This window comes from Homo sapiens, chromosome 15 (assembly GCF_000001405.40).
Source record: "Homo sapiens chromosome 15, GRCh38.p14 Primary Assembly".
Taxonomy (NCBI): Eukaryota; Metazoa; Chordata; class Mammalia; order Primates; family Hominidae; genus Homo; species Homo sapiens.
Window position 1 is genome coordinate 51,062,133 of NC_000015.10, and position 21,605 is coordinate 51,083,737.

At 43.9% G+C, this 21,605-nt stretch overlaps 1 protein-coding gene and 1 long non-coding RNA gene across 3 annotated transcripts in view, besides 3 other annotated features; one reads left to right on the plus strand and one right to left on the minus strand.

Moving 5' to 3' along the window:
• MIR4713HG (MIR4713 host gene) overlaps positions 1–21,605 on the plus strand; it is a 256,425-nt gene that overhangs the window by 24,645 nt on the left and 210,175 nt on the right. The gene's annotated exons all lie outside the window — the stretch shown is intronic.
• Positions 1–21,605, minus strand: part of TNFAIP8L3 (TNF alpha induced protein 8 like 3) — a 48,676-nt gene that overhangs the window by 5,532 nt on the left and 21,539 nt on the right. The gene's annotated exons all lie outside the window — the stretch shown is intronic.
• Positions 14,639–15,195: an enhancer, noted in NCBI's record as "H3K27ac-H3K4me1 hESC enhancer chr15:51368968-51369524 (GRCh37/hg19 assembly coordinates)". NCBI's record gives its function as "activates a minimal SCP1, AML or CMV promoter by ChIP-STARR-seq in primed H9 embryonic stem cells {active_cell/tissue: H9 hESC(primed)}" and the evidence as "EXISTENCE:reporter gene assay evidence [ECO:0000049][PMID:30033119]".
• Positions 15,460–15,754: an enhancer, noted in NCBI's record as "tiled region #8572; HepG2 Activating non-DNase unmatched - State 23:Low, and K562 Activating DNase unmatched - State 8:EnhW". NCBI's record gives its function as "activates a minimal TATA promoter and a strong SV40 promoter by Sharpr-MPRA in HepG2 and K562 cells {active_cell/tissue: HepG2 | K562}" and the evidence as "EXISTENCE:reporter gene assay evidence [ECO:0000049][PMID:27701403]".
• Positions 16,801–16,960: an enhancer, noted in NCBI's record as "active region_9403". NCBI's record gives its function as "activates an Ori minimal core promoter by ATAC-STARR-seq in GM12878 lymphoblastoid cells {active_cell/tissue: GM12878}" and the evidence as "EXISTENCE:reporter gene assay evidence [ECO:0000049][PMID:35858748]".

The following is a 21,605-nucleotide window of genomic DNA, read 5'->3' on the forward strand; positions in this document are numbered from 1 at the left end:
GTGTGGTGCCATGCACCTGTAGTCTCAGCTACTTGAGAAGCTGAGGTGGGAGGATGGCTTGAGCCCAGGAGGTTGAGGCTGCAGTGAGCTGTGATCATGCCACTGCACTCCAGCCTGTGTGACAGAGTGAGACTCTGTCTCAATAAAAATAAAATAAAATAAAATAAAATAAAATACAGTGAAAAATTAGCCAGGCATGCACCTGTGGTCTCAGCTACTCAGGAGGCTAAGATAGGAGGATTGCCTGAGCCCAGGAGGTTGAGGCTACAACAGTGGAAGAAAGGGAGATCCACCATGCCTTGACCTTAGGTTTCTTCTTAGGTAGATGAGTTTGTATATTAGTATGTACAAAGAATACGTATTGAAGTTGTCAAGAGGAATTTGGATCTATAACTGAGTTCCCTCAAAACTCTGTACATGTTGTGGAATGTCTCTGGACTCTTGCAGTCTGCCCATCTACCATTCTGAATCCTACTTTTCTGCAAGAGCAGCAGCCTTCCATGAAATATTAAGTGTTCCTTGGGATGAAAAGAAGAATTTCTTGATTACATAAATTTAAAAAACACTGATTAAGCAAAATGAAATAGCTTATTTTCTGTGAGATTTTAAAAATATTTATTTAATACATTAAGGTGTTCTATCAATTCCCAGAGAGAAGTGGGTGTGGTAGGCAGACTAATGACCCCCAGAGATATCCACATTCTCATACTTGGAACCACTGGATATGCTGCCTTACTTGGCAAAAGGGAATTTGTAGACATGATTAAGTTGAGAGTGAAAGAGGGAAGTGGGAGAGTGAGTTAGAGAAAGAGATGTGATGATGAAAACAGAGGTTGGAGTGACATGGTGGCTGGCTCTGAAGATGGATGGAGAAGTCAGAACAAAGGAATGTGTCCTGTAGAAGCTGGAGATGGCCAGGGAGGGGATCGTTCCCTGGAGCCTCCAGGAAAAAAACAAAATGGAGCTCCTGCCAGCACCTGGATTTTAGCTCTGTAAAATCCATTTCGGACTTCTGATCTCCAGAAATATAAAATGATAAATTGGTGTCTTAAGCCACTGAATTTGTGGTAATTTGTTACAGCAGCAATAGGAAATGTATTCAGGTGGGTAGAATGAGATGTAGCAGTCTTGATTTTCTTTGATTAGGGAACTATTTTTGCCTCCTGAGTGACCAAATGCCCAGTTTTCCAGCAAGGAGGGCTTTCCCAGGCAGTGGAATTTCATTGCTAAAACTGGAAATGTTCCATACAAATTGGGACAAGTTGGTCATCTATTCCTGAACTACTAGCGATGTATATTTATCATATGAAGAACGAGAAGTAACGAAGATACAACTTAAGAGTGGAGGAAGATTATACCATTTAAGAAGCTCCTATCTCAGCAGGGGAAGCTGAGTACCTACCCATCTTGCCACATTTACCACCTGTTCTACCTGCTTTTTAATTCTAGAGCCAACCTTTTGTCCCTTTTAGACCAAGGTCCCCTTTGTCCCTTGTTTTCTCTGCAATTATTGAGCATTTACTCTTAGTGTGGCTATGTAGCAAGTGCTATGAGGATATCCCGAGAAAAGTATTCAATTGGGTCTTGCTCTGAATATGATCCTGCAAGGAGGCTGGATATTGACAATGAATCAAAATACAGAAACATGTGAAACAGCCCACACTGGCATGAGTGAGAGTAGTTGGGGAAAAGTCCATGGGCTCTGAAGGTGGATTTGCATGTAGGTAGGGACAGCTATGACGTTAGGAAGTGGTTTCTAAAGTCATGGATATAGGCCAGTACTTTTCCCCAAGTCACAAAGTCCCTGGGTGGTTTCCCTGATAAGCTTCCAGCCATCTATCTTGTATAAGAATTTGTTATTTACCTGCAAGTAATTTGGGGTACAAACTTCTACAGTGAGGGCTCAGGAGGGTCACCGGGATAGCATCTCTGAAGCTTTAAAGATCAAAAGTGTCATGTAGAGGAACCCAAATGTTATGGACCACCAAAATTACCAGGAAGGCTTTAAGAAAAGACAACAACCAAGTAGATTTCCATACTCTACCCCAAATTGTCACAAGCTCCCTAAGTGATTCTGACATGATGAATGTAGGACCCATGATTTATAACAGTGTCCTCCAACATGTATCCTATAGAGCACTTGTCCTGTTAGATGCTCCAGGAAAGAAAGTCTTGAGGTCAGTTAAATGAGTTTGTAGATGACAATATATCATGGTTTGCTTTTGATGGTTCACCATACCAGGTAGCTTATTAAGGCTTTGAGAAGTCCTACAGTAAAGATACCTGCATAGTTTTGTTTAGTCCACCACTTCTCAAATTTACTGGACATATACATATACATATGAATATATATATATATGTATATGACATATATATATCACATTCTCTGGTATGCATTATAGGAAATACTGGGATAGGATTGAGAGAAATAAAATCAAGACACTGGTCAACAGAACACTTTCACAACTCTCAGAGCTTAACGGGGAAGCTGGGGAGATACCATTGTTTCCAACATGCATACATAATGTTACAAATGATTTAAGGGAGAGAGAGGGCACTGAGGGAGCAGTCCCATTTGCAAGACTTTCTGCACATGGAAATCTTGGCCTTGCTTTCAACCATCCTTCTGCCTCAGCCTTCTGCACAGGGTGCCTATTGGTGACCCACCAAGGAGGAATACTGCAGGCTGAAAGAAACAGCATGAGCTAAGCTTTGGGAGTCAAGGTCACAAGTGTGCTTGGGATATTTGGGAAACAGGCCTAACTAGTGGACCGTGTTTATTAATGGGGAAACACTAAAAGATGGAGGATAGGTCTTGGTAAAAACTTCTCCTTCTGTATACAAGTCCTAGGAAAGCTCTTTTGGCCAGAGATAATTCTTTTAACCATGTTTGAACAAAAGTTCCCATTTTCCAGGCATGAAAGGTAATGGATTGTTTATAGTACTTCGGAATCTCTGAGAATAGACATAAAAATGTGATTATGTAGCGATAGCAAATTCATCCTGGTAGAAAGACAGGGGGCTTCCTTAAACCAAGATTGATAGAAGAGCTCAATCAAAGATAATATGAAGTCTCTGAGAATAAGGACCCTTCGATCATTTACAAGAAAGGAAACACACCAGGACTATGTTGGGAGAATGGTGTGACAATGGCAGTGAGCTAGTTTGGAGAGAGAAAGCAAAAGATAATTTAAGGGGGGAACTTCACTGCATGGAAAAGTGCTGGGGTCAGTCTGAGCTGCTGCTTTTATAAATGATGTTCAGCCAGAGTACAAGTGATGTTTCCATGTTTCTAGAAAACACTAAGCTCTCCCAGATGGTGAAATGCCAAGCTAATGGTGATAAACAACAGGAAGATCTTTACCAAGCTGGGTGAGTGGGCAGAATAGCTTCAGCATGGTAAGAACAAGGTAATAAATTTTGGGAAAAATAAAGTAAATGATGGTTATAAAACATGACAGGCTCTGAGCTCTCAGCTACAGCCCAGAAAAGGGCCTCTGAGCATCACTCTAGGATGTGGGAGTGGACAGGGTGAGGGGACAGCTATTCTCCCCTCTTTTTCACAGGACTTGGAAACTTCTCTAAGGAGTGTGTGGAAAACTTGAATGTAAGTGTGGATAGCTGTGTCAAAATTATAAAATGGGAAATTATTTGTAATAGTCAGTACACATCAGAATTACTTCATTTCTCTAAATAGCTTGAGATAATGGCAGGGAAGAGAATTAGCTAAAAATGTTAAGCAGAAGTTAAGAGTGAAGATGGTTCCCAGAAGAAAACAATCTGGAGTGCTTAATGGGCATCATTTGTCAAGGCAGGGGACCCAAAAGACAGGGAAGGTGGGAGGAAAGGCCCAAGGGGTGGGGTAAGAGCCCTGGGCAGAGGGAGATTCCTGGTAGTCCAAGTTTCTGGCACTCAATCACTTACACTTAATTGTTAGGGGGAAAAAAAAAAACAAAAAATGGAAGAACTTCAAGCAAGTCTCCTTAAGACGGAGCAGGCTCACAAACTGCTTTGAACTTGAACTTTCTTTCCTTTTTTTTTTTTTTTTGAGACAGAGTCTCACTTTGTCGCCCAGGCTGGAGGGCAGTGGCACAGTCTCAGCTCACTGAAACCTCTGCCTCCTGGATTCAAGCGATTCTCCTGCCTCCGCCTCCCGAGTAGCTGGGACTACAGGTACACACCACCATGCCTGGCTAATTTTTGTATTTTTAGTAGAGACGGGGTTTCAACATGTTGGCCAGGCTGGTCTACGAACTCCTGACCTCGTGATCCACCCGCCTCGGCCTCCCAAAGTGCTGGAATTACAGGCATTGAGCCACAGCGTCTGGCCTGAACTTGAACTTTCATGATGAGCAACCATCCTTCTGCTCAGTTTATGCAGCCAGAAAAGCTGACTGAACCTGTCACGTCTCTCATGCTCCATCTTTCACTACTGATAAGTGGTCAGGAGCGAGTGGTGAGAGTGATGGCCTCCCCACCCCTTCCCGTCTCCTTTTCTGTTCTGTGGGTGAATGATGAGGAAGGTGTATGCTGTAGGGGTGAGGCGTGGTGGTATGCAGGATGGGATATCCTTGACAATGATAAAATGCTTCCTCAAGAAGACACTGCTTCTGCTTTAGGTTTTGGATGTCCCTAAGTAGCTGTGGGGGCAGGACCATTAAGGAACTTTAAGTAGTGTTTTGAAATGTGAACCTAATACAGTTGTGGCTTCCAGAGAGACTCATTGAGTTGTTGCATCTCCAGTGGATTCAAACTAGAAAACATTTTCCATCCCTTGTATAAAACTGTTGTTTGTATATTCCTAGAATTCTAAAGAAAGAACATGGAGCTGGAGGAGGTAGAATGAAATGAAAGCCTTAAGGGATGGTGGGGCCTTTGAGTTAGAGACAAACAAAAAAAAACCTTGATCCTCCCCTCTCCCATGGAGAAATGATCAAAGCTTAGAAGCTCATGAAAAGTGCCTTTATTGGTCCAATTCCTTTCATACGTGAGAGAGGGTGGCACTTCTGAGGCTTACAAAAGGCATTTGGGAACACTTTAAAAGGCACCCATGGTAAAACTTAGATGATTTAGAAGGGTTAGGGAATGGATTTTTCAGACTCAGGGTTAACTTTGCAGCATATTCTTGAAGACTTCTTGGGTCTGGTCCCTTCCCAACCCTCCAGAGGAGCCACCTGCCTTGAAGACAGATACCCCGAGCTTACCCCTGCTTCTGGGAAGTCCTGAGGTCTCCCAAATTTCCACCACCTGCCACAGGAAGCAGGCAGCTTGTGGGACTCATGGGGGACACCATGACTTAAAGGGTAGCAGCCTCCACTAGGCACCACTGGTGGGGTGCAAAAAATGGAACTCTTAGAACCTCTATTTAGGTTTCCTTTTTTGTAATGAGATAAATTAAGCTTTACTAATATTTAATACACAGACAGATTTGGGCCCCACTGTTGTGTGGCATTCTGAGGGATGAGGGAAACATCCCCCACATGGGGTGGGGAGAGGTGCTTAGTCTATGCCTCACTCGTTTGTTCTCTTTCAGCAGTTTTGATTTATTTCAGCATATGTTTATGTGTGCTTGGTTAAACAGACTCACTGATTATATTACTTCATTCTAACTAAACTAGCCCTTGCAAAATAGCCCAGTGATTTCAAAAAATGCCTGAAAGAAACAAAACCGAGGACTGAAGATGAGCCGCTAATCATACAGGCACATGTGAACAGCAGGAAAACACAGAGTGGACAATTATCCTTCCTCTTGACAAGAGCTTTCCCTGCAGCCCCACTTTAAGGGAAAAGTAATGATCTAATCAGATCTGACAAGAAATGGGCCATCTACATTTCAAAAATTTCCATGGGACAACTTGAAGAATGGATTTCAAATACTTTTACTTGCCTTGAGATATTTCCCGAAGGCAGTAGGAAGCCATGGCAATTAGAAAGATAGTTAAATGCTTTGTATTTAAAGATAGTTAAATGCCTCGTGTTTCTGATCTTTAGCTTGTCCTCTAGGTGACAGGGAGAGAGCAGAGTAAGGAACAGCATGGGTGATTGCTGGGGTTCAGGGATGAGTCAAGGATGACGATGAGTTGTTTCTTCTAGCTTTAGAGACAGGTAGGGTGAAAGGATATAGAGGTGCCACCAACTGAAATGGACATCTTGGAGGAGGAGCCAGCCTGTAGGGAAGATGAATTCATCCCTGAGTTCCAGGTACCCATGGGGCATCTGGGTGGAGATAGTGACACCAGCCTGTCTAGCAGGACACTTCAAACCTCACCTGTCCTATACTAGTCTTCCCATTTTCCCCTGCAAACCCTGTCCTTTTCCAGTAAGGAAGAGATGATGAAAAGACCCATCTTCCTGAAATAATTAGCCCACTAGAGATCTTGAGGGATAAGTGGGCTCTTCCTTCAAAATGCAAACACGTCCATTTAGCTGGTTAAAGTGGATTCTCTATTCACTTTAGTCAGAGCCACACTGTATCTCTCTTGGGTGTCTCTCTCCCCTTTGTCGTCCACCATCAAACCACCCCTCCTGTTTTTTTTTTTTTTTTTTTTTTGCAAGACAGAGTCTTGCTCTGTTGCCCAGGCTAGAGTGCAGTGGCACAATCTCAGCTCACTGCAACCTCCGCCTCCCGGGTTCAAGCGATTCTCCTGCCTCAGCCTCCCGAGTAAGCTGAGATTACAGGTGTGCGCCACCACGCCTGGCTAATTTTTGTATTTTTAGTAGAGATGGGGTTTCACCAGGTTGGCCAGGTTGGTCTCGAACTCCTGACCTCATGATCCGCCCCCTCGGCCTCCCAAAGTGCTGGGATTACAGGGGTGAGCCACTGCACCTGGCCTACCCCTCCTCTTCATAAAGAGAATGAATTATTTAAAAATTAGGGTAGGGAGGGAGAGGCAGGCTTGGGTGCAATAGGACGGGGGCAGAGGTTGGAAGGATGAAGGAGTGAATTACCGGAGACAACCAAATGCAGAACAGGGGTGCTGATTCACCAGTCTTCACCCCCTCTGCCGTGTGACCAGCTTTCCTGACTCCAGCTCTGGCTTAGGTGCCCCTGAGATCCTGCCTTTGGCTGGGGCCTGCTAACAGGCAGAGAGCTTTGGCTTTGCAGTTGGTAGCTGCTCAGTCCCAGAGATTCATTCATCCACAGGCTAGGAATGGGGATTTGTGTGTTTTGGGGGCACCAAACATGACAAAATTTCCCAACTCTTTTGGACATTTTAAGGGTGCTGAATAAGAACATACAAAAGCAATGGCAGTCAAAACAGGATGCAATTTCAGATTGCTTCAATGCCTTACATTGAATAATTACACTTGAAAAGCAGCATTTAATTGTCTTCAAGATGAAGACCTTTCCCCTACCCCAATTCCTGGGTCTTGAAGAGAAGAGAGATTGGCAGGAGGAGCTGTAAAACCTTTTAGCTCATTATCTCAGCTTGTTTTAGAGCCTCCAATCCATCACCCATCAGCACTGAGCAATCTGTAACTCAATTAATGATAATGTCAGAGATAAGGACAACTGCTGAGTACAGATTACGCACATGAGGTGGTATATACCATGTATCTGATCCTCACAACAATTCCTCAAGAGAGGGACTGTGAGTTCCATTTTATAGATGAGGAAACTGAGGCACAGTCAATTTAAGTAATTCACTGCAAGCTAAGTGGCTAGTAAGTAGCAAAGCTGCAGTTGGGCCCAAGTTCACCAGACACCAAAGCCTACAGTCTTTGCCTTCCTGCATCTGCCTTCGAAAAATTCCCCTTGGCTCCCTAATGACTGAGATTTCTCACTTATTTGAAACATTAAAGGCCTCAGTTTGAATCTCCACCTACCTAGGGGAGTTGTATTTCATCACTTTTTTAAATACAAAAGGGCCAGTCTTATGTGATAGAACATACTCATCAAGACTTGAAGATAGATGTAGCTTTCATTTTTAGAGGGAATTCTGTATATTTCAACAGTTACATATTAATGTTGCTTTTCATATTGATTTTACAGCCAGCTCTGAAAAGTGAATGAGTGTTTGATAATTTTACTTACCAGAGCTCACTGAAGCAGATACTTGTGAAGCCACTGGGGGGTGAATCATCTCCAAATCAACAGGTTAATTTTGGAGATCTGAGAGATATTTTTGGCTCACTGCAGAAAAGTAACCATCACTAAAAACAACATCTACTTACATGATTTCTTTAAATGAAGCTTATTCATTCCCCCAAATCCCTTGCATCTAACAAATAACTAGTGTCTTTCTGAATGGTAGATTATATTCAGGCATAATAATAATAAAGTGCTTGCTCTTCCATGTGCTTTATGCACAGTTAAGCCATCATATTCTTGCAACAACTGTATCAAGTAGGCACTAATGTCAGCGATAGCAATGGATGCAGCATTTCACATCAAGGAAACCAAGGCAAAGAGAGATTAAGTAGCTTGTCTGAATCCACCATTTAGAAAGTGGCAGAGCTGGATTGGGCAGACTCTGCCCCAGAGTCTGCCTGAGTTCAGTGCTTCAGCCTGCCACACTGAGCTGCGATGCATGGGGTGACAAACATCAATTAGTTTAAATGTTTTCTGAATTATTGCCCACTTTAAGATGGAGATTGAGCAGTATTTTTCCCTCACAAGAATTAATTTTCTGGCCGGGCGCGGTGGCTCACGCCTGTAATCCCAGCACTTTGGGAGGCCAAGGCGGGCGGATCACGAGGTCAGGAGATCGAGACCATCCCGGCTAAAACGGTGAAACCCCGTCTCTACTAAAAATACAAAAAAAAAAATTAGCCGGGCGTAGTGGCGGGCGCCTGTAGTCCCAGCTACTTGGGAGGCTGAGGCAGGAGAATGGCGTGAACCCGGGAGGTGGAGCTTGCAGTGAGCCGAGATCCCGCCACTGCACTCCAGCCTGGGCGACAGAGCGAGACTCCGTCTCAAAAAAAAAAAAAAAAAAAAAAAGAATTAATTTTCTAAAAACCACCAAGTGTTTCAAACATATAAATAGATAAAAATATGTAATGCCTAAAAACATATACATAAACATAAACAAAATAGAAGATAATTTAACAAATACTGTGTAGCCACCACCCAGATGGAACAATTGTTAATATTTTAAATATTAAGCATTTCAAACATATGGCCAAAATAGAACATAATTTAACAAACACTGTGTGGTCACCACTCAGGTGGAAAAATTCTTAATAGTTTACCCTCAAAGACAGGGAGAGGTAAAGCCCTCTTTGCTTTCAACTCCCTCTCTTCTGCTTCTAGCTCCCAGATCAAACTGCACTACAGAAGTTGTATTTTTTTTTCATCTATCCACGTTTTTATGCTTTTGTCTCATTTCATAAGTATGCATGCATCAACATCATGTTTAAATTTCACACAGAAGGTGTCATACTACACAGATCCTTCTACAACTCTTTATTCCACATCCTGTTTTCAAGATTTATCTTGTTTAATCATTTAGTTGCTTATATAAATATATATCTTCAAGTTTCCTCCTGATGGACATTTAAGTTCTTTCCATTTTCTGCAAGGAAAAAGTGTCTCCTTGTGCGCACACACACAACAGTCTCCTGGGGTCTATACCTATAACTTGATTGCCAAGGCCTGCAGCAGCAAGGGCTGCCAATGGCTCTCCAGAGAGACTGCACTCATTTTCACTCCCAGCAGCAGTGTCTTGAGTTCCTGTGGTTGCACTTCCTCATCAACACTTCAAATCATCCAACTTTTTAATTTTTGCCAATCTGATAGGTATAAAATGGTACCTTGTTTTAATATGCATGTTCCTGATTGCTGGTGAGAGTCAATGTATTTGTGTTTATTGGGCATTAAGGTTTTTCTCTTCTGCAAATTGCTTGTTCATATAATTTACTCATTTTTTCAGTTGAATTATATATATTTTTCTTTTTTGTATATTTTGCTTATGATTCTAAGCCTCTGCTGATCACAGGGCTGGCAACTATCTCTTCCCAGTCTGTAGCATTACATTTTAACTTTATTATGGTGTCTTTAATCATACAGAAAGCTATTTTTTTTTTAGATGGAGTTTCACTCTTGTTGCCCAGGCTGGAGTGCAATGGCACGATCTCGGCTCACCGCAACCTCTGCCTCCTGGTTTCAAGCAATTCTCTTGCTGCAGCCTCCCGAGTAACTGGGATTACAGGCATGCACCACCATGCCCGGCTAATTTTGTATTTTTAGTACAGATGGGGTTTCTCTATGTTGGTCAGGCTGATCTCGAACTCCTGATCTCAAGTGATCTGCCTCCTCTTAGCCTCCCAAAGTGCTGAGATTATAGGCATAAGCCACCGCGCCTGGCCAGAAATCTAAAATTTTAATAGTCTAATTTATCAATCTTTTCCTTGATGGTTGGTGGTTTCTGTATCTCATTTTAAAAATTCTTCTCTTGCCATGAGGTGATAAAAGATAACCATATATTTTCCAGAGGTTTAAAGGTTTTGTTTTTCACATTTAGGTCTTTAATCAATCTGAAAATTATCTGTACATATTGCATGAGGTTGGGAATCTTTTTCTCCCCACGATTTATTCTATTTATTGAATAGTTCATACTTCTGCTACCTATCTGGTAGGCCCCTTCTTTTCATATCAGGTTTCTATATTGCATAGATCTGTTTTTGAGTTTTTTACTCTGTTTATTAGACTCTGGTCTATTTCAGTACAAAAACCAAGTTTTCTTAATATAACTCGTAAGTCATGATAGTCCAAAGGGAAGTGCCCCTCCTCACCCTCACTTTATTCTGCTTAGAAACTGTCTTGATTATTCTTGCCTTTATTCTTCCATAGGAATTTTAGGATAATATGATCAAATGCCATGAGCACTCTATGTTGATCTGAAGTAAACTGGGATCCTTTTTTTTTTTTTTTTTTTTTTTGAGACAGAGTTTTGCTCTTGTTGCCCAGGCTGGAGTGCAATGGTGCAATCTCGGCTCACTGCAACCTCCACCTCCCGGTTTCAAGCGATTCTTCTGCCTCAGCCTCCTGAGTAGCTGGGATTACAGGCATGCGCCACCATGCCTGGCTAATTTTGTATTTTTAGTAGAGATGGGGTTCCTCCATGTTGGTCAGGCTGGTCTCAAACTCCCGACCTCAGGTGATCTGCCTGCCTTGGCCTCCCAAAGTGCTGGGACTATAGGCGTGAGCCACCACGCCCAGCCTAAACTGGTATCTTTATGATACTGAATCTTCCTCTCCATTAACATGACATGTCTCTCCATTTAGTCATATCTTCTTCTGTGTCCTTCAATTATGTTTACAGTCATCTCCATAAATCTCTTGCATATCTTTCATTAGATTTACTTCTAGCTACCTTACAGTTTTGGTTGCTGCTGTTAATTTTTTTCTATTACAGTTTCTAAATGGTTATTAATGATGCATAGGAACCCAACTGATCCCTGTATACTTATCTCCAATTGAGACATTTTGCCGAGCTCTGTTATGAGTTCTAATTTATATAGCATCTCTTGGACTTTTTAATGTAGACAACATTGCCTACACAAAATGATTGTTTTCTTTGACCCCCTATTTCTTTTTCCTGCTTTATAACACCGGTAGAAAACATCCAGCACAGTGTTGAATAGCATTACATGGCATCCTGGTCTTGTTCCTAACTTTAACAGGATTGTCTCTAAAATTTCCCTGAGTATGCAATGTTTGCTGTGGGTTTTGATGGATACCCCTTATCAAGTTATCTTCCTTTTATTCCTATTTTGCTAAGGCATTGTTTGCTTTTAAGTAGAAATGTATCCAATTTTAGCAAACAATTTCTTTGTATCCACTGAGATGATCATATAATTTATCTTATAATATGTAAATTTAACCAATTATTCAAAGACTTTTTGATTTAAATCATCATTATATTCCCAGGATAAGCCCTACTTGGTCAATGATGCATATGTATTTACTATACTGGTGAATTCTACTAGTAAATATTGCATTTTGCAACTATACTCAAAAGTGAGATTGGTCTATAACTTTTTCATAGTACTATCTTTGTCAAATTTTGATGTCAGAGAAGACTAGTCCCATAAAACGGATTGAGTAGCTTTCCTTCTTTTTCTGTGTCTGAGAGTGTTTATGTAAGGTGGGGATTAACTGTTTTTTGACAGTTTTAGTAAAACTAGCCTGCATTTCACTCGACATTCTGAGGATATCTTTCCATGACAACAAATGTACTACATCATTGTTTTTTGACAATAGCACATGCCACCATTTTCTCTACTGGTCCCCTCTTGGTAGGTTTCAAACTGTTTCCAGTTTTTGCTATGAAGTATCTGCAGAAAGTAACAACCTAGCAGCAGGCTGCCTGTTGGGGAAAAGGGTGCCTTTTGGCACATGGTAGGATTCCCTTCTAATGCTCCTTCCTAAGTAACAAAGTAACAGGAGATACTGAAGAGGAGCTCCATGAACAGACCTCTGGCTCTGCCCACCGGATCCCATCCCTCCTACCAGAGGCCTGCTTGCCCAATTCAAAGCCAAAAGGAGGCTCAACTCTTCACAAAAATGGTTTTGCCCTAACCCAACTGGCTGAAATAGTCGGGATGACAGCCAAACAGTACCAGAAGTCAAGCCAGCTCTCCCTAAGGGTGCTGCCCTGGCTGCCAGCCATGCCCTGACTCTCGTGCCATAGCTGAATCCAGTGGACCCTCGCCCAGGTGGAAGAGGCACAGCTGACAGGTTGTTTGTTGCCGCTGAAGGTCCCCTCCCACCATGAGCCCCTGGCCAACCCTTATATCCCTCTTGTCAGGGAGGCTGGCCCTCACACCTAGCTCAGTGGTAGCCCTGTTCCTGTGCTGCACTGCGACTGGCCATCTACTTTCCGCATCCGGTGCTGAGTTCTTAGGGATTGATGCTCAGAAGACCTGTGAATCCCCATAAGCAGAACTGCCTACTATGCAGAAGTTACTCAGTATATGTCTTGTATATATGTCTCAGTAAATGAATGACTGATGAATGATTTTAGCGTGTTTGTTCTTGTTCTTTGAGGCTCAGATTCCATCAGTTCAGGACCCACACCTGGAAGGAGGTGCATATTCACAATGTGCAGGTGGAACTGAATGTACTCAAATGCCTTCTGAACTAAGCACAAGGTCCACCCTTTGCCTTTCATACGGAGCTATCTGCTTGGCCCACTTGGGTTCTGCCTGTCTTTGACCCAACAACAGCAGCATCACCTGGGGGCCAGAGGGATTGCCCACCATGCTCTCAGTGTTCAGTTCCAGCAGTAAACCCTTTCTCCATGGCAGAAGCACCCCTCCTTCCTGCCACCCCTGGAGCCTCCCCATTTACGCCCCTTCACACTCATGAGCTATTTTAATATACTCAGGAGCTGTCGGGCTTGGAATAGCACAGTCCACGTTCTGTCTCTCTGGGCAATCCTCTCTCTCTCTGCTGGCAGCTCCCAAACTTTCTCTACCACGGCAGGCACCCAAGAACTCAGGCTCAGAACACCAGACTGCTAACAAGGACACCAGTAGGATGCCACATTCAGAGCCATGGGAGCATGCCAACACCGTAATATGTGAAATTAGTAAACAGTCTAATGCAATAAAAATGTCAGTCTTTGGAATGCTGTAATTTTTGGAGGATGGATGCAGAACCTAAAATGTGCAAAACAATAAAATGGAACAAACTCGTCTATCTTGGAAAAAAGAAACAAAACATGGCCTGTGACAGTGGACTGAGGCTACTGGAAGGTGCTCTAATTAATTAATGTAGTAACATGTAAACCCTCAGCTTAGTGAGCTTAACAACAACTAGACAAACTGTTAGCTGTACTTGAGAGGTCAGAACACACGAGGGAGAAGAAACCAGAAGGTACTTCTGTATGGGAGATGATTTGGCAGACAGCATTATGGCTTCCTCAGTGTTCTACTTGATTTTTTTTTTAGTGAAATATGAATCCTGAACAATGACATTTTTGGATTTCAGTCAATCTGAATGCGGAACAGCAGGAAAGGGACATGTAATATATTGCTTATAATCTCCCTTACATATACTCTGTAGTAAAACTGGTTTTGTTTACGGATTTAAGACAAGTCAAGCCACATTTTTAATATCTGCTGGTGTCATGGTCAATATCTGGCCTGTGGAATGACAGTGTTGAGGGATGTTGTTAGCAGATGGGAGGTGGGATGACACCCGCAAGATCTCCTGAGGTTGGGCTCCTAAGCTCTGCTGGGACCGCTACTGTGATGGAACCACTCTGAGTCCAGGGGGAATCCCATTCACATCACGTAATGGGAGGGGCCAACTAGCTGTGGAGGCTTAACTTCCTGGAAGTTTCTCAGAAATGTGACTTTCTCTCAGGCTTCCTTTCTAAATTAAACTCTAAGGCCACAAATGGCTAAGAATAGAATTTTTTATACTTCATGGTAACGTAAAGAAGTACCACCAAAAGGTTTCACTGTTTTCCAACCAAATCACCAGGTGTGGTCACTCAAAGATGCTGAGAATGGCTGTCCTGCACAATCAAGATGCCAGGGTGTATCCATGGAGTAGCTAGCTCCTCGGATACAGGGAAAACGAGAGAGCCCAGTCCTGGTCCTGACTTTTGCCACTGAGCCAGCAGCAGGAAGTGGAAGACAGAGCCCGGCCTCCAGCCCTGCCCTGCCCCTGCCACCCCCAGCGCACTCACTGTGTGCCATGGGCCCATCTCTTTACCTGCTGGTTTCTGGGTCTGTTAAATGAGAAAGCAGACTAGAAGATTCTGCTAATTTGCTTTCTCAATTTAATAGTAACCCCTTAAGTATGATAAATTGAATTTTTGTCATCATCTGGGCACGCATCAGATGTGCGCTGATGCCTGTGGAGAGGTCCTCCGCGTTCCTCCTCTCCCGTGCTGGATTCCTGCCGCCCCCCATTCTACTCCCGCCATTCTTCGTAAATGGAATCCTCCTGCTTCTTTCTCACTGTGTAACACCTGGGGCATCGACCTTGGAGCCTCCAGCTTTCCTTATCTGTGACTTCCCTCCAAAATGCTGCTCCCTCCCCTGTTTCCCTGGGGCCCTTGACTCCTCCATTAGACCTCAGCCTCCTCTGTCAGTCCTTGGCCTGTGCTCGCCACAGAGCGTGCGGTCAGCAGGCGTCATGCTGGCTCTCCCCAAGGCCTCTTCCTGTGTTGGCCTCAGTGCCCACAGACCAAACCACAGACTGCCAGGCCCCCAGGCCCCGGCAGGCCGCCCTGTGCTGACGTAGCTGTGGGTGGGACTCGTGTCCGAAACCTCAAGGCCAGCCCTTCCCGCTGGTCCCATATCCCAGCTGCCCCGCCTGTCTCCCCAGCCTCTCATCCCGCTTTGCTCAGCGCAGCTCCTCCCTAAGCCAAGCACGCCCTGCTGCCCACCCCGCTCCCATCTTATGCAAGGGGGCCTAGTCAAGGAACCCCCACCTGGCTTCAATTGTTTGTACCCTGGCAGTTCCGAGAGGGGAGACCTTTGATAGAGACAGGAGACAGCCAAGGGGTCCCTTGCAAAACACCCCATTCAAGCCTAAAACAGTCTGAAAGCTGAAAGACCCGACTGCCGGTCCCGTAAGAAACCCGCAACCCAGAGGGAGAACACCCTTGTCTGCCCTCCCTTCCCCGACAGCTTCTCGCTTAATAATATGCACATGCGCACTGGGGGAACAGGGGGCGGAGCCTCAGGATTTCGCGCCTTGGGCAGGGGGAGGAGCCTGGACTCCAGCTCGAGTGTGCTGGCCTGGAATTCAGTCTGTGAGGTGGAAGCCTGTTAGCAGGACCACTTATTTTTTTCTCCGAGAGCTTTCTTTTAATAAATTCTGCTCCCCTCACCTTTCAATGTGTCTGCGGACCTCATCTTTCCTGGTCATGTGACAAGAACCCCGTTTTAGCTGAACTAAGGGGCAAAAACTTCTGCATCACCTTAACTGTCGTGTTCACCGTGGCGTCCCTGACATGTGCTAGGAACTCAATAATATACATTTAAACCTCAAAAAATAAATAGTGATTGGGCAGCCCCGGAAGAGGCCTGAGGAGGGAATGGCCACGGCAGGACAGAGGAGCTGTGGTTTTATTCTTCCCTGGCTTTCACCACAGACTCCTTGGTAACCGCTCTCACCAAGGTCACCAAATAATCTTGTAATTGGCCCTGAGGAGTGTTTGGAAACATGGGAGGGCATTTTCGGTTGTCACAAATATAAGCGGGGGCGGGGGGTTCTAAAGGCTGTTTCCGGGGGGCAGATATGCTAACTACTTGTAATCCTGGAACGCTGAGGGCACCCCGATACACACGGCTTACCTGGTCACCAGCAGCAGGGGACCCTCTGTTGGTCTTGCTTTCCTAACCCCACCTCTTCTGGCCCTCCTTAGCCTCCTCCAGGCCTCCTCCTCCTCTGTCTATGCTTCATGTCTGGGTGTCCTCCTGAGCTCACTCAGGGTCCTCTTCTCTCGCTAGACACTTCCCAAGTGTGAGATGCCACCCCTGTCCCATGGACTGACCCCTGCCCCGCATGTTCCCCAGTCCAGGGGACTCTCCCATCCATAACTGCTTGCCTGATCCCTCCCCCTCCACATTCAACATTTCTCTCAGCTCCTTTCTCCAACCCTCCTGAAGTCCTCTCCTTGTATGATACGTGACTCTGCCACCGGCCTGTGTCCAGACAAGAACCTGGGGACCATCCTTGCCTTATTTCTCTCCCTCACCTCCCATATCTAACGAGGCCTCCGACTGTCTATTCAGCTTCTGTAACATCTTTAAATGCACCTGCCTTCCTCTGCCTCTCTTTCGCTACCTCAGTACAGACCCTCATGGTTTCTTCCCCGAATGCTTGTCTGTCTCCTTGCTCATCTCTCTACCCCAGCTACTGTTCTATTTTCCACACCAGGCTGACAGCAGGCTTCGATGATGCTGCTCCTCTAGAAAAGGCCTTGAGGGGATTCCCATAACCTTCAAGACAGCCCAGACAACTCTTTAGCATGGCACACCAGGCCACTGAACTGACATCTGTCTTCTCTTCACCCTCTACAAACCCTAAGCTCCCAGCTCCAGGCCACAGGCAGGTCTCACCTGCACCAGGCCTGGGTCCCCTTGCACTTTTGCATTTTCTGTCCCTGTGCTGGGACACTGACCTCTTACTCTCTTCCCAGCCCAATTCCTGCTTAGCTTCCAGGGCTCCATTTGAATGACTTCTGACTTCTAGGCAATTTCTTTTTGCAATCACCTGCCCTGTCACTTATCACCTTGTGGAGCAATCAGTCATCCACTAGCTGGATGAGGAATTTTATCACCCACTGGTCTGTGAACTCCTTGAGGGCAGGGACCAAGGCTTATTTATCTGGGCAACTGTAGCTAGGGACTGAAACAGAGAATGTTCATTGCTTGAATGCATGGCTCTCACTCATGACATTTTATTGAAATGCATTCACACTCATGTCAGGAACAATAATGATAATGAGAGCTGGCATGTCCTCCAACCAGGGGCCTGAGACACTCTCACCTGGGAATGGTTGCCACATCACTCACCAGGTTGCTCTGTCACTTCTTTTCTTTTTATTAAGAAAATTATTTTCAAAGTAATACAGGGTACAATTATTTAAAAAGTCAAATCAGACTGAGCATGGTGGCTCATGCCTGTAATCTCAGCACTTTGGAGGCCAATGTGGGAGGTTCACTTGAGGCTAGGAGTTCGAGGCTGCAGTGAGCTATGATCATGCCACTGCACTCTGCACTCCAGCCTGGGTGACAGAGCAAGACTTTGTCTCAAAAAAAAAAAAAAAAAAAAAAAAGAAAGAAAGAAAAAAAAGAAAAGTCATTCCACAAGGGAGGCTTATAACATGATGTAGCATCCCCAGCACACCTCTGATGCTAGCTACTTACAGACAAAATAGTTTAAACTATTTTAGCTGTTTCAATGAATAATTACCTCTCTATATTTAAATTACATGCTTACACTGTTAATTCTTGATTTTATTTGCTTTTAACTGTCTACTACAGAAGGTGAAAACTTAGCTTTCTTTCCCATTCATTTCTCCTTCCACCTTCCAATTTGCTTCTCTTTCAACATTTGGTTAAATCAAACTTCAGCGATGACATTACTATGATTTAGCTATCATTCATAGCCAAGTCATGTAGTGTCCTATAACTTCCATGCCTGCATTTCCTTTCTTATTCATCTTGTTTTCCCAGGAGTTAAACACTATTTTTTAATCTCCTGGTTAGTTTTTTATCTGTCTAGTGCAAATTCATTCCTAAAGTTCGTAGCAGAATAGAAAGTTCTTCTCAATAGGTTCAAACACATCAACTAATCAACTGCTTCCACTTTTTTTTTTTCTTGGAGATATCTCTGGCAGCCCTCTGTCCCCCAACTCAAGTCTGGGCATGTTTCTCTTGATGCCTGACACACGTAGTCATCCTGGGTCCTCCCTTCACTCTTTACCCCTTCTCTCCTGTGTCCATCTCCTGTTTCTTGGATCTCACAACTCCTTTTTCTTAATTTGGTCCTCGGTTCAGTGGAGCACTTGGTCTAGCACAGACTTCGGCAAACCGCCTTAAAGAGCCACAGAGTAAAGGAGAAAAAGGCAAAATAGAGGATATTGTATAGGTACTTAAATAACCATGTAAAGTGTAAATAACCATGTAAGGTGTACTTAAAAATGGAAACACAAAAACAGGTGGCAGGCCAGATTTGGCCTGGGGGCCTCAGTTGGCTGCCGCCTGAGTAAGCAGCTATCTCAGGAAGAGGACATGATAAAGTCATTTTTTGGTATCTAACATATCATACAATGACTTTATTCCAACCACACCCTTGATGGATGGTTTGCCTTGGTCTAGAGCTCTATGTTGGAAATCATTTGCCTTGAGAATTCAAAGGCAGGGCATCATTGTTGTCTAAAGTTCAGTGTTGCTATTTAGAAAACTAGTATACATTGGTAAGGGCCTGTTTTTTTTCTCTCTGGAAGCTTTTAAGATTTTTGCTTCGTGACTTAACTCCAGGAATGGCCACAAGACTTGGCTTTTTCACTGCCTTAGTCCCTCTAACACTCAGGAGGGCTTGTGGGGGTGGGTGGGGGCCCAAGGCAGTGGAAACGGAGAGCAGCATCTGGGCCTGAGATGGGCTAGGGAAGGGAAGACATCTCAGGTGAGGCAGAGAGCTGGGACCAGGGAGATGGGGAGGACAGGGTGAAGTCAGGAGGAGATATTAAGCTTCTGGAGTGTGGACAAGATGGGTAGGGCCCATGGGGGGCCCAGCTTTTCTGGAAGTTTTAGATTCTTTGAGCTTAAAAGAGGCTACCCTCCAGGTGGAGGGGCTCAAGAAAGCTGGGGCAGCCATGACGGGACTCAGTGACTCATGAGAGAATGGACTTGTCCTACAGCACTCCTGTCATGTGCCCCATGACTCCCTGAACCACTGACCAGCTGCTCTTGGCCCTCACCTGGCCTTGATTCCACCTGTGTGCTGTCTTAGCACCAACCTCCACCCTCTTCACATGCTGCTCAGACCTCAGCCACTCTCATTGAGTGATGACAATTTGGCAGAGCTACTTTTTACATAGTTTGTTTTTTAACAACAACACAACAGAAAACAAAACAAAACACTAAGAATGGGTGGAAACAGGCCTCCTCATCCATTCCCTGAGTCTCGGCACATCACTGACCTCCCTCCCAGGATGAGGAGAAATCCTGGGTAGAGGTGGTTGGTAGCAGCCCTTGTGCTTACCACGCTTGCTGGTCTTAGGATGAGCTATCCATCATTTTGGGCACAATGCTCCCTTTGTCCAACAATTTGCTCCTGTCTCAATCATTCTCCCTCTCTTATTCCCTGATCTCTCCTTTTAAAATCACAGTGGTCATAGTCACTCACTTGCAAATAATAAGAAAAGATGGCTCCTTCATAAAGGCACTAAATAAGGGAACTTTCCTGCTTTCAACTTGAAAACTAAGAAAGAGTGAATTTTTTTTTTTTTTTTTAATGAGGGGACTTTTCTGGAAGCGTGAAAAAGCATAGTCAACATAGAGTCATGAGTGACTTGATGGGGCTACGTTCTCAGAAATGCATTAGGGGATTTTGCCATTGGGTGAACATCATACGGTGTACTTATACAAACCTAGATGGTCAAGCCCACTACCACCTAGGCTATATGGTACAGCATTTTGCTCCTAGGCTACAAACTTGTACCGTATGTTACTGTACTGAATACTGTAGGCACCTGTAACACAATGGTATTTGTATATCTAAACATGTATAAGGTACAGTAAAAATGCAGTATAAAAGATAAAAAATGGTCTACTTCTCTAAGGCACTTAGCATGAATAGAGCTTGCAGGACTGGAAGTTGTTCCAGGTGAGTCAGTGAATGAGTGGAGAGTGAATGTGGAGGCCCAGGACATAACTGTACACTACTATAGACTTTATCAACACTGTACACCTAGGCTACATTAATCTTATAAAAAACATTTTTCTTTCTTCAGTGATAAATTACCCTTAGCTTACTGAAACTTTTTTACTTTATAAACTTTAAATTTTTAAAAACTTTTTGACTTTTGTTGTAACACTTAGCTTAAAACACAAGCACATTGTATAGCTGTACAAAAATTATTTTTTCCTTTATATCTTTATTCTATAAGCTTTTTTCTATTAATTTTTTTCTTTTACTTTTTAAACTTTTTTGTTAAAAACTAAGAAAAACACATACATTAGTCTCTGCCGACAAAGGGTCAAGATCGTCAAAACATCATCAGGTGCAAGGAATTTTTAGCTCCATTGTAAGCCTAGGGACTACTATCACGTCCAAAATATCATTATGCAGCACCTGACTGTATAATTTTATACCTGAAAAGGAGTAAGGATAAATCATTTTTCATAATATAAACCAAGAAAGTAAATAAAGATAGACAAAATCCTGGCTGATGGGGAATACCAACTATTAAGGGTGATTGGGGCTAATTTAAAACTGGGTTAAAAATTCTGTTAAATGTGAATCTAAATGGTGGGCACTTCCTTTTCTAGAAGCCTCCTGACTGGGCTACCTCTGCTTGGGAGGCTAGAGGGGAGTAAGGGATTCTGGGGCCACCGTATGATCTCTTATTTTTAGCTTCAAGATGCACAAGGAATCTTCAATTAAATTTCAGTCTAATTCCTTCAGAAATAGATTCACATTATATTTAATATCACACCACTCCTCAATAATAAATTTTTTTGGAACGATGGACTGACGGTGGTGGTGGCAGACCAATACCTCCTAAAAGCTAACAATCCCGTTACAACAGGCTTTTAAATGTCGTTGTATCCCCCTCTAATTTAAAAAGTAATAAAAACACAAAATTAGTATAGGTAAATGAAAATGTGGGAAGTGAATGTCACTCATATCTGGAATAGAGGTCAAGGACAGAGGAAGGGTTGCAGAGGGCATGTGGGTCAGAGCTGCCAAGTGGACCCCCTGCCAGCCAGCGAGCAGCAGCGACGCTGAGTTTCAAGAAAGCCAAGATGGCTGAGTCCACAGGCTCACCCACGGGTGCGTTTAGACTGGGATGCTGCAGTGTCCTTGGCCAGTCTGTAGGCCTCATATTTACAAGCTCTGACCCTGTTCATGGCATGGAGGCCCACAAAGGCTAGGCCAGGTGGGCTCAGAGCAGGAGGTGGTGATG